General features: G+C 45.7%; 1 long non-coding RNA gene across 1 annotated transcript, besides 2 other annotated features; it reads left to right on the forward strand.

Moving 5' to 3' along the window:
- Positions 1-1,042: 1,042 nt before the first annotated feature.
- On the forward strand, positions 1,043-6,482 carry LOC105376958 (uncharacterized). Its single transcript, XR_940606.3, has 2 exons — positions 1,043-1,959; positions 6,038-6,482. It is a non-coding gene; the product is annotated as an uncharacterized LOC105376958 (long non-coding RNA).
- Positions 8,680-9,544: a transcriptional cis regulatory region, noted in NCBI's record as "candidate enhancer chr3.770 targeted for multiplex CRISPR interference". NCBI's record gives its function as "positively regulates LSM3, SLC6A6 and XPC gene expression with high confidence in K562 cells {active_cell/tissue: K562}" and the evidence as "EXISTENCE:mutant phenotype evidence [ECO:0000015][PMID:30612741]".
- Positions 10,831-10,946: a transcriptional cis regulatory region, noted in NCBI's record as "candidate enhancer chr3.771 targeted for multiplex CRISPR interference". NCBI's record gives its function as "positively regulates SLC6A6 gene expression with high confidence in K562 cells {active_cell/tissue: K562}" and the evidence as "EXISTENCE:mutant phenotype evidence [ECO:0000015][PMID:30612741]".

Here is a 12,244-nt window from a genome sequence, read left to right on the forward strand (position 1 = left end):
CACTTCAAAACAGCAGGCATTATGTGGAGCTGGAGCCCCATCAGATAGACTACATGGGAAACAAGCAGTGGAAATAAAAGTGGCCCCATCACCATTGTACACAGTGACTCATCTCAAGAATACCTTTAACTTTAGGCTCCACTGGACCAGTAATGCTGGTCCCTCAGCATGTCTGGGGTTGATGGGGAGAAGATACTTATCCCAGGGATGCCTAAAGCTGTAGCTGCTCCTTGTCATTTTAGGTTTCTCATGCCAACAGAGCAGTAGGCAAAGAAAGGAGTTCTTACACTTGTAGGAATATCAGATTCTGCCTATCATGAGGAAATAGCACTGCTGCTAGATAGTGGGGTCAGAGAAGAGGATGCCCCAAAGCTCAGGGGATTCAGTGGGGCTCATTTTGGTGTTTCACAGCCCAATGACAACACTTATGGGCAATTGCAGCAATGATAGTCTGCCCAGTGCACAGTGACCAGGGCTTCAAACCTCTAGGGATGATGACCCAGTTACCTCAGCAGACCAGCAAGCTCATATGCAGGAGTGGTGGTCAAGTATGAGGGCTATGCAGAATGAGTAGTGACACACAGGGACAATGAACACCAATGATGACCTTAGAATTCATGGTAATTGATGGGGTCTGTAGCTTGTTTCACAAACCCTCTTTCTTAACTTCTTTGTAGAAATTGTGACAGGCAAAATCCTGAAAGAAGCAGTATCAGGAGGGAGTGGACTTAATATGGGAAAGCAGTATCCCCCAGGTCTCAGCATTCCTACACAAGCTGGCCTGACTTCTATATCCCAACACATGCATCTCTTTGCCGAGGGCTTCCTCTGGCTGCTGGAGCCTGCTGTAACCACAGGCATGGCAGCCTAGAAGTGCCTAGAGTACTAATGCCATATCCCCAACTGCAGCCCTCGACCAGCCCAACCTCAGATAAGATGTCATGGAGGACGTCAGGATATCATTGTGTCCTCCACTGGCTCCACGTACTCACGGGGGTAGGTTGTATGTTAACAATTCCTTTCTTGCCTCCTTGCATTCTGTCTCGGTTCACACTCCCCTACAGTACTGATTGGCATGAAATAAACTACTTGCACTCAAATCCGTGACTGAAGGTCTGCTTCTTGGGGAGCCCAGGATAAGATGCCCCACGTCTCTCCTCCTTCCTTCGAGGAAGCCTAGTGTCTTGCTTCTGACTGTTTTCCTTCTTTTTCAAGCACAGAAAAATGGGCCATTTCGACAGACATAACAGTTTGCTCACTGAATTGCTGCCCATTGTACTTGGAATGAGTAATAACAACAAAAGCCTCCCTAACACAGTCTACCAGAACCTGCAGTATCTGAGCCCAGCCTGCCTCCAGTCCTGTCCTCAATCACTGCTCATAGTTTTATTGCAGGGAGCCGAAGGCCCATGGGAAATGACCAACTCGGCATTCCACTGGAGGCTATATGATCAAACAGCAAACTGTTTATCATGAATGCAGGATGTGGGCAAACTCACGACTGCTCCTGCCGACAGAAGGTTTGCTGGAGGCAATCACTCCCTGGTACTGAGGTTATCTATGGTGACATCTAGAGCCTCTTGTTCGAGGAATGCAGTCTTGCAAGCCTACTCTGGACTGAGCAGCTGACCCCTTCTTCCACCCCTCTTCTCACTATCTCTTTTGCCTAATAAATATGGAGGGCTGTGTAAAGCTCAGGGTCCTTGTCCACTAGAGGCAAGGTGCCCCCTGACCCCTTCTTCCAAATATACTCTTTTGTCTCTTGTCTTTTATTCCCAGGTTCGCCCCCTTGGTTCAGTCCCCCTAGGTCCATGCAGGCTACAAGTGGCACTTGAACAGGCAACAGTCCGAACACAGGGACTATGAGGACATGAACGAAGAAGGTCTGCCGGAGCAGAGGAACTGAAATTGAAAGGTGAACAGGGATGCCGGGCCGGGTCTGCCAGCAGCGGATATAAGGTCAGTGCCCTAAGGAGGTACTGGGAGTAGTGCTTTAAGGAAGTGCTGGGAACCGGAAGTTTTCTGAATCAGGCTAACAAGGGGAAGAATTTGTCTGTTGAAGACAAACATTATGTGCAGCTGCTTAAAGTTCTGTTGAGACAGTCTGGAGCTCAGGTTAATTCGCAGGCACTAACTAACCTCCTGCAGAAGCCACAAAATGTTACTATGCATAACCCATGGTTTCCCCAGGCAGGCACTCTTGATGTGGAAAATTGGGACAGAGCACGAGAAGGATTAAAACGGGCTCATCAAAAAGGTCTTAAAGTTGATTCTTCTGTTTTCTTCACTTGGAGTTCAGTTCATACTGTACTTCTGACATTATCTTCTTCTTATTCTGCAGGAGAGCAGGCTGAATCTAAATCTGAAAGAATATGTTGTCCCACCCACAGCTCCAATTGAAAATAAAAAACAGGAGAGGGAGGATAAGAATTGACCTATACTCCCTCCTCCAATTGCAGAAACATCTGTACCGCCTCCTTTGGTAGCAGAAATAGAAACCCCAATACAAAGAATTTTATGCTCTGCTGCCATAGCTGGAGAGCCCTTAGGACCTCTATGCGTAATGCAAACACAGGTTGTAAATGTGCGCTGGCACCTGTGAGATGTACAAAAAACATGGGAAATTTTCTCAGAACTTGTCAAGATGTAGGAACTGAGCTTCATTGCTCTTCAATGTTAGCTGAAGCAATGGCTAATTTAGTAGTTGACAAATCTAAAAGGAGCCAAGGGTCAAACCCTAAAATGGGAAAATAATTGTGGAAAAACTGGACATTTAAAAAAGGAATGCCACCAGATCTCAGGACAGAAAGGATCTTACAATGCAGTTCCCCCCACCCTGCCCCACAGCGGAAAAAATGCCAGGACTTTGTCCTTGCTGTAACAAAGGAAATCACTGGGCTAATCAGTGCTGCTCAAAATTTCATCAGATTGGCACAGCCCTGTCGGGAAATGAGATGGGGGCCTGGACCCCAGCCCCACAAACAATGAGGGCATTCCCAGCCCAAACCTCAACCCTGTTTCAGGGATGGGTTCCCGGAGGTACATTGATTCCCTCCCCCCAGGAACACCAGGAAGTGCAGGATTAGATCTCGCAGTCAGAGAACAGGTAACGTTAGTTGGTGGAGACAAACCTATCAAAGTTCCCACTGGTATTTGGGGACTTTTACCAACAGGATACACAGGACTAATTTTAGGCAAAAGCCGGCTTAACTTGCAGGTCATTACTATAGTCCCAGGAGTTGCTGACTCTGATTATGAAAGAGAAATTCAAGTAGTTTTAATGTCACAAGATCTTTGGGTTTTTGAACCTGAAGAATATAATGCTCAATTATTGCTTGTTCCCTGCAAATTACACCCCTCTCCATGAAAGGAGAAATGAGGAAATAAAAGGTTTGGGAGCACAACTACATGGGAAATCTATCTATCCCAACCCATAGCCTCTAATAGACCCACATGTGTAGTACAAATTAAAGGAAAGAAATCTTATGGGCTTATGGATACGGGAACTGATGTGTCAGTAATATCTAAAGACAATTGCCCCCATCCTGGCCCTTGCAATTAACTTCTACATCCTTAGTGGGAGTAGGAACAGCTCAACGTGTTCAACAGAGTGCTGAGATTTTACCTCGTCTCAGTCCAGATGGACAGTCATGTACTTTTCAACTTTATGTTGCAAATATAGCCATCAATTTATGGGGTCGAGACTTACTTACAGCATGGGATGGGAGACTTACAAATGAAAACTTTGATAACTCAGAATTTAAAATGTAGAAGAACATGGGATATCAGAGTGGAAAAGGTTTGGGGAGGTTTCTACAATGAAATCCTAACCCGGTATCAGTAACTGGAAAAACAGATAGAAAAGGGCTAAGGTGTCAGGATTTCTGACAGGGGTCATTGATATTTCTCCTCCGCCCACTGCCTTACCATTAGAATGGCTCTTTCCACCTAATCAAACAGTCAAAACCTTGCAAATTTCTCTTTCTTTAATTACACAAATTGCATCTACGGGCAAGCATAGGTCAAAAATGCTTATGGGATATGATCCTGACAAAATTATTGTTCCTTTAGACTCCCAGCAACAAGCCGCAACTTGGGAAATGGTGACTGCCTGGCAAACTCTTTTGCAGATTTCGTGGGTGCTATAGATAACCACTACCCCTTAGACAAAATTTTACAATTTTATAAAATCCACTCTTTCATTCTTCTTGTGATTACTCATCACACGCCTATTCCAGGTGGACAGACTTATTTTACTGATGGCTCTTCCAAAGGTCATGCCACTATCTATGGACCTAAACACACTCAAACAATAATGACCCCTGGTGCTTTAGCTCAATGCTCAGAGCTAATTGTAGTCATTCAGGTTTTACAGCTTACAGCTTCAGATCCTGTCAACATTGTCTGTGATTCAGCTTATGTTGTAAATGTAGCCCATTGCATAAAAGCTTCTACAGTTAAAAGTACACTAGACCCAGAACTGCTTAATTTGTTTCACTTATTCTCATATGCTGCATGCTACATGCCAAACAGGTGAGACAGCTGTTCATGTACAGCTACACTGTCATCATTTGCTCATATGGGGCTACCTAAACAAAAACTGACAAGGGACCCACTTAATCTAGTCATGCTTTTCAAAATTTCTTACAGCTTTGGGCTATAACCCAAAAAACAGGAATTCCTTATAATCCTAGAGGACAAGGCATTATAGAACAGGCACATCAAATATTACAACGCATGCTGAAAAAACAAAAAAGGGGTATAGGAGGCCAACTACCACCTTAATCAAAACTACATTTAGCCTTATTTACTTTAAATTTTTTGACTGCTGGTATGGATGGTAAGACTCCAGCAGAAAGACATTGGCAAATGTTAGAGGAAAAGAGGAAAGTTTATCCAAAAGTGTTATGGAAAACGCCGGAAAAAGGAAAATGGAAAGGTCCAGTGGATTTACTGATGAGGGGAAGAAGGCATGCTTGTGTTTTTACAGGAGATGGACAAACCGTGTGGGTGCCCTCAAGGTGCGTGCGACTATGGAATGGGAGACTGGAGGAACACAGGGTGGCCAACCATGGGCCCAGTCCCTCTGATACAAGCCATGAGTCAGCTAAGCCTGAGTGCAAAGATGGAGAGAAGGCCAACCGGAGTCACGACACAGTTCTAATGTTACATTTGTAAAGAGTATCACCACTCAATTTACAGTTTGTGTTTTTAATCCTTATGTCTTTTTGGCAGCTAAGAAGGACCAGCTCTAGGTAAACAATACCCAATTGACCTATAAATCTTGCCAGTTATATCACTGCATTAATCATAGCACATTGCAAACATGTAATATCTCTACTTTGTTGATTTTAGGTCTCATCCCTGGGCTATGGATTCCCGTTAATCTGTCTGAGCCTTGGGCTGCCACACCTGCTTTGCATTTTGTAAAAACTTCTTCTAACTCAGCTAACTCATTGTGTCCATAGAGCCTTAGGCACGATAATTTTTGCTATTGTTTCCTTGATCACACCAATAACTTCTGTTGTGATATCTTCTGTAGCTTTGCATAGTTCTATTCAAACAGCTTAGTACATGGAGAACTGGACATGCACAGCCAGCCAAGCGTGGCTACTTCAGAATAAAATTAACACTGAGTTACAAACTGAAGTGGTAATGTTGAAATCCATGGTTCTATGGTTAGGGGAACAAGAACAAAGCTTGCAATTGCAGCAACAATTGTGTTGTCATTTTACTCACACTCATATTTGTGTAACCAACTTAGAATATAACCAAAGTAAGTATCCGTGGGACCTTGTGGAAGCCCATTTTCAGGGAGCTTTCACATCCAACATCACCTTTGATATTGGTGAATTACAAAACAAAATTCTTGATTTAAACAGGCAAACTCAAGAATTTGAGCCTTCTTTAGAAGACTGGACCGGATTCCAGCAAGGCCTGGAGAGCCTCAACCCTTGGAACTATCTAACACACCACAGTTACATCTTTTATGTGGTTCTTGGAATAATGTTGTTTTGTCTCTGTCTTCTGTTTATAGTCTGTAAAATCAGATGGACTGCCAATTGGAGAATGAGAGCTGCCCAGCCTGGCCTTATGTTCTTTCAATTAATTCATAAACAGAAAGGGGGATATGCAGGGAGCCGAAGGCCCGTAGGATTCGGCATTCCACTGGAGGCTATGTGATCAAACAGCAAACTGTTTATCATGAATGCAGAATGTGGGCAAACTCACAACTGCTCCTGCCGACAGAAGGTTTGCTGGAGGCAATCACTCCCTGGCACTGAGGTTATCTACTGCGACATCTAGAGCCTGTTGTTCGAGGAATGCAGTCTTGCAAGCCTACTCTGGACTGAGCAGCTGACCCCTTCTTCCACCCCCCTTCTCACTATCTCTTTTGCCTAATAAATATGGAGGGCTGTGTAAAGCTCAGGGCCCTTGTCTACTAGAAGCAAAGTGCCCCCTGACTCCTTCTTCCAAATACACTCTTTTGTCTCTTGTCTTTTATTCCCGCATTCACTCCCTTTGTTCGGTCCCCCTAGGTCTGTGTGGGTTACACAGTGGCACCCCGAATAGTGACAGAATCAGGTGTTCCACATTTTATGAACACCCTTCCCATCATTTGTCATTTGGTGAATTATTACTCATCCTTCAGATTTTAGCTTTCAAGCCATTTCCTTGGAGAGACTTCCCCCAAGCCCCCTCATATTGACCATTTCCCTCTATGATTCTCCTTCAAAGGACACTCTGCTTTTCCATTTTATGCTTATAGTAAGTTGCCTTCCTATATTTACTGGTGTGTTTATCTGATTAATATCTTTCTCCCAACTAAACTGCACAGAAATGTTGAGATGGGCCCTGAAGTTCTCCAAGGTAGATAGATGGTGGCAGTGAAGTTGTGATAAGGAGGGAGGGCAAGAGGGGACGTGGCCAGAAGCCCACAGGTCCCTGGCTGATGGAAACATGAGGTGTGAAGAGGGACAGCATTTTCAGAAACTTTGAGTGCCGTTTTCCCTCTTGACCCCACAACCCCCTCCACCTAGGTCCTCATTTCCTTGCTCCTCTTGATAATAAAAGTTTTCAAAAGAATCATTCATGCCCCTTGTCTCCTATTGCTCTCATCACAGTCACAAAATCAGGCTTTTGTACCCACTACACAACCAAAATATTTTGTCAAGGCCAGCTATGCGCCTCCAAGTGGCTGAATCCCAGGGACTACAGTCACTCCTCATTCTCTCTTGGCCCATCAGCGGCAGTAGACACAGCTGTGGGCCCCACCTTCCTGAAGCCTTCTCTTCCCCTTGCAGACCGCTCCTCTGCTTCTCCTCCCTCGCCAGCCACTCCTTCCCAGTCCCCTTTGCTGGTGTCTCCTGACTGCCTTGACCACTGAATGCTGGGGGCTCCCAGGTTCAGGCCTGGGTCTCCGCTTCTCTGACCACAATCACTCCCTTGGTGATGTTCATTCTGAGGCACACAGGTTTTAAATGCCTCCTGTAAGTCAACAGCTCCCAAATCAGTATTACTAGCTTAACCTCCTTCCTGGACGACTGACTCTATACTCAGCTGCCTGCCTGCAACCTCCCCTTAGAGATTGTAGATATGTCAAACTACACATGGCCCAAAGCAAGCTCCTGGCTCTCTTCTCACCCCACCCTGATCCTCCTGCTTTTTTCCCCATCCCAGTAAATGACAACTCTGTCTGTCCATGAGCTCAGGCCAAAACCTCTGTGTTGCCTTGACTCCTCCCCACGTCCAATTCATCACCATCGTCAGAGGTGGTCCTCCTGTGTCTGCCTTTGCCTTCTTGCCGCTCTTTCTCAACCGTGCAGCCTCAGCAACCTTTGGAAAGGAGAGTCAGGTCATGTCACTTCTTGGCTAAAAAGATTTCAGTGACTTGCATCTACTCAGAACAAATCCAAAGTCCCAACAGCAGTGCACAAGGCCCTACCTGACCTGCCCCCAACCAACTCTCCACCCTCCCTCCTCATCTCTGACCCCTCTCCTTCTTGCACCCTTTTCTCCAGCTTCCCTGGTTTCCCTGATGTTCCTTAAATGTGACAAGCTCACTCCTGCCCCAGGGTCTTTGCACCATTGGTTTTCCTGCCTGCAGTACTTTTTGCAGATGGCCCCGAGACTTGCTTCCTCATTTTTTCAGAGTTCTGCTCAATATCAGCGTCTCCATAATACCTTCCTTGACTGCCCTGTTATCAATGGCAACCCCATGTCCCCAGAGCTTCCTATGCCCTTAAGCTGCATTTTAAAATTTCACAGCATGTATCCCCATCTCATTTTCTATATTCGCTTGTTCGTTTATTGCCCATCTCACCGGCTAGAACCTGAGTTCCATGAAAGTGAGAACTGTATGCCCAGCTCACCTCTGCAGCTGGGAAGAGGCCCTGCTAAAGGAATGAATGAGACTCTGCTCAATAAATATTTATAGATTAAACCAACAAGTAAGTGGATTTATATTTACTTCCACGTGGATCTCAGGGTTATGTTCAAGATGTCATCTAGTAATGAGAGTTGTGAACTGGGATTCTGAGGAAACAGCTCATTCCTGACTCCTTACTAACCCTTTTGTATGTTTTCAAAGCAAACATGCAAAGCATGAAGACCTTCAAAAACCCTTCTCTTCCCTCTCAAACCCTGATTCAGCTTGCAAAGGACAAAAGAGCCCTTCCTTTTCTTGTAGGAGACCTGAGTCTCTTAGATGGTTTCCCTATATGACCTTGGTCAATCCAGATACTCTCGTTGGGCCTCATTTTCTCCTTCTGTAAAGCCTCCGAGATCTTCCAGCTCTGACGTTCTATGGTTCATTTCCACCTGAGATGGCTGTGGCACTTTGACTTCACTGGGGGAAGCATTTCAGATAAGCAGGCCCTGCTATCTCTGGAGCCTTTCTCTTCACCTTCATCCCTTCACGTGAAACCCAACGCCAGAGCTTCTGGGACAGCCTCCTCATTGATAAAGTGTTCCCTGACTTCTCAATGAGCTTGCACACTGTAGCTGCAGCGATAATGGGCTATATCTGGCTGGCCCGGAATCTTGCCTATGTTCCAGTCAGTGCTGTGACTATCAGTTGTCTGCTGAGCATGAATGGCCAGAGGCAGAAAAAGGACAAGGAGCCCCGCTGGTGAGAAGTGGAAGTGATTAACTTATGTCGCATGCTCCAGCGGGAGTCTCAGCCAGCGATAGGCGAATGAGTGTATGATGACAGCTGCCTTGGAGTTCACACCACACCATCAGCACTCTGCAGGAAACAGATTACTTCAGGGCTTGAGAGCTCGTTGACAGCTGGAGCTTTCTGATAAAGTTGTCAGAAAGTGAAAAGGACAGTCCCAGGAAGTTGTAAGCTTCCTGTCCTTGGAGGTGTTGTGGTAGAGGAGGAGAAGTGGTGGATGGGATGTTGTAGACGAGGTTGAAAGTGCACTGATGGGCTGGGTGCGGTGGCTCGTGCCTTTAATCCTAGCACTTTGAGAAGCCGAGGCAGGCGGATTGCCTGAGCTCAGGAGTTCGAGACCAGCCTGGGCAACATGGTAAAACCCCCGTTTCTATTAAAAATACAAAAAATTAGCTGGGTGTGGTGGTGCATGCCTGTAATCCCAGCTACATGGGAGGCTGAGGCACAAGAATGTCTTGAACCCAGGAGGCAAAGGTTGTAGTGAGCTGAGATCATGCCACTGCACTCCTGCCTTAGTGACAGATGAGACTCTGTCTCATAAAAGAAAGAAAAAGAAAGAAAGAAAGAAAGAAAGAAAGAAAGAAGAAAGAAAGAAAGAAAGAAAGAAAGAAAGAAAGAAAGAAAGAAAGAAAGAAAGAAAGAAAGAAAGAAAAGGGCAGTGATGGGCAGACCATGTCTGTCCTGTTCTTCACAATGTCATTATAACCTAACATGGTCTCCTCTTCTGTGCTCAGGGGCTCAGGGCCAAGGTGTATCTGTCTGGGCATCAGTTGGGGCCCCAGGAAATGGTGGAATGAGGGGAAGGTGGTATAAGCAAGTTGGGCTAAACTTCTAGAAGGAGAGCCAGGATCCAGGTGTCAGGAAAGGGCAAAATCCAGAGATAGTCAGAAAGAGAGAGGAATTCAGGGTGGGAAGCAAATATTCACAATAGGAGAAATGAGATAAAGTGAAAACAAGTCAAGATCAACTAAGATCGGAGGACAGTGGGTCCAAGTGGTCACTTATAAGTTGGAAAAGGTATGATGCCAGGTGCATTGGCCTAGATTTAAAAATGACCAGAAGTGGGGTGTACATTGTGTCTTGCTGATAACACTGCACTGCAGAACACTAGCGATCATCTTTTCAGGAAGGCCAATTCAGAAAAAACAGAAGGACTCATGGGCCACGTTTACCACCACCTAAAATACTTCTGTTAACTCTCATGAAAAAAAATACAGATATTCTTGTAACTTGGATTACATACTTTGTGCAATGTCACTTAGAAAATTGGTACTGCTTTTGGCCACTTTGATGTTACTCTCCAGGCCTATTTGAGAAGATGATAAGAGGTGGCAACTTTCTAATCTTTCACCTTAGTATAGCCCAAGCAAAGAGCTATATAGACCCTTGTGGGCTGTCCACATGATCTCATCTCTGCTGTAGAATTTCATCAAGTGGAATTTCAACTTTGGAGAAAGCAATATAAACTACATGGTTGCGTAAGGAGTCCACAAGTCTGAATACTTATTCTGTTAGCAGCCCCACCCCTCTCTTTTTCACTTTGATTTGCATGTAGTTTTCAGTCAGGCCAGAAAAAGCACTTAAAGCTCTCCATTCCATGACCCCCACCCTCCCAAAGGCGTGAGCCCTGTTGGGCTTTGGCGTCAGTCTGAAAGATCGTGCACGTTCTCTGTTTCTACCCAAGCATGTCACAGGAGAGAGCCTGACCTGGGTGGGGTGAGATGAGGAAACTGGATGACTTCCCAGCCTCTCATGAGTCAGGTGTTCATGGCCTCATTCTTTTATTCAGAGAGGATTCCTGGAACATAACCTATTTTCTGATATCAGTGCAAAAACACCTTTAGCGCCAAGTGGCACCCTTTGGGGTCACATCGATGGACCCTACAGGCAGCGTCCTCTTCAGAATGGGAGAGACGGACTGGGAGAAGCAGCCAGGAGGCCCTCTTTGCAGAGTCTCTGGGGCGATGGTGCAAAGTTTAAGTTTTATTCTAAGAGCAATGGGAAGTTATTAGAGAGTTTGATGCAGACAGGCCATGATGTGATAACCATTTTTAGAAGATATCTCTGTCCGCAGAGTGGGTGATGAAACTGAGGGAGGGAGGGGATGAGGGAGACAAGTTAGGAGGCTACTGAGGTCTCCATCCATTCGCATATTCATTCATTCTCCAAATATTTCCTGTACTCCAACTGTATGGGCAGCAGGCACTGGAGATGAGGCTCCCTACCCTGCCAGAGCTTAGGGGTGAGAACGACAATAAAAAAGGAAACAACTAAACAGAAGAGATCATTTCAAAGTGTGATGAGTGCTATGCAGAACATGAAACAAGGTGCTGTGATAAAAGGGACTGGAAGGGAGGTGACAGTCACTTCAGAGGGCTGAGGGGACAGAAAGCCTTTCTGAGGAAATGGCATTTGTGTTAAGACCTAATACTGGGACTGTGTGAGTCATATGAAAGTGTGGAGTGGGGGTAGGGGAGTGTTACAGGTAGAGGAAACCGTGAGTGCAAAGGCCTTGAGGCAGGAATGAGCTTGGCTTGTGACCAGGGAGTGACGTCTAGGAAGAGAGGTCAGCAGGGGCCAAGCTAGGCAGCTCCTTGAAGCCCCCAGTTAGTAGCTGGCTTTTATTCTGAGAGGATGAGGAGCCATGACAGAGGGTCCAATGATAGAATCCAGGGGCTGGCAAACTATAGCCCACAGGTCATGTTGGCCCACCTACTGTTTGTGTAAATAAAGTTTTATTGGAACACAGCCTCACCCATTCATTTACATGTTGTCTATGGCTGCTTTCACACTACAAGGCAGAGCTGAGCAGTTGTGACAGAAACCAGCTGGCCCACAAAGCCTAAAATACTTTCTCTCTTTCTGGCCTTTTGCAGGAAAGTTTGCTGATGTCTGATTTAGTTTGTGTTTTCAGAAGGTGACTGATTCTGGCTGCTGTGTGGGGTGGCATCATGACATGGAGCTACAAGGCCACTGTGGGACAAGAGATGAAGATGAGGTCTCTGCTTTGCATCAGTGCCTTTCGGCTGATGTTTCCTCCTCCCTCTGTCCCTCCATCAGACAGAG

This window comes from Homo sapiens, chromosome 3, assembly GCF_000001405.40.
Source record: "Homo sapiens chromosome 3, GRCh38.p14 Primary Assembly".
NCBI lineage: Eukaryota > Metazoa > Chordata > Mammalia > Primates > Hominidae > Homo > Homo sapiens.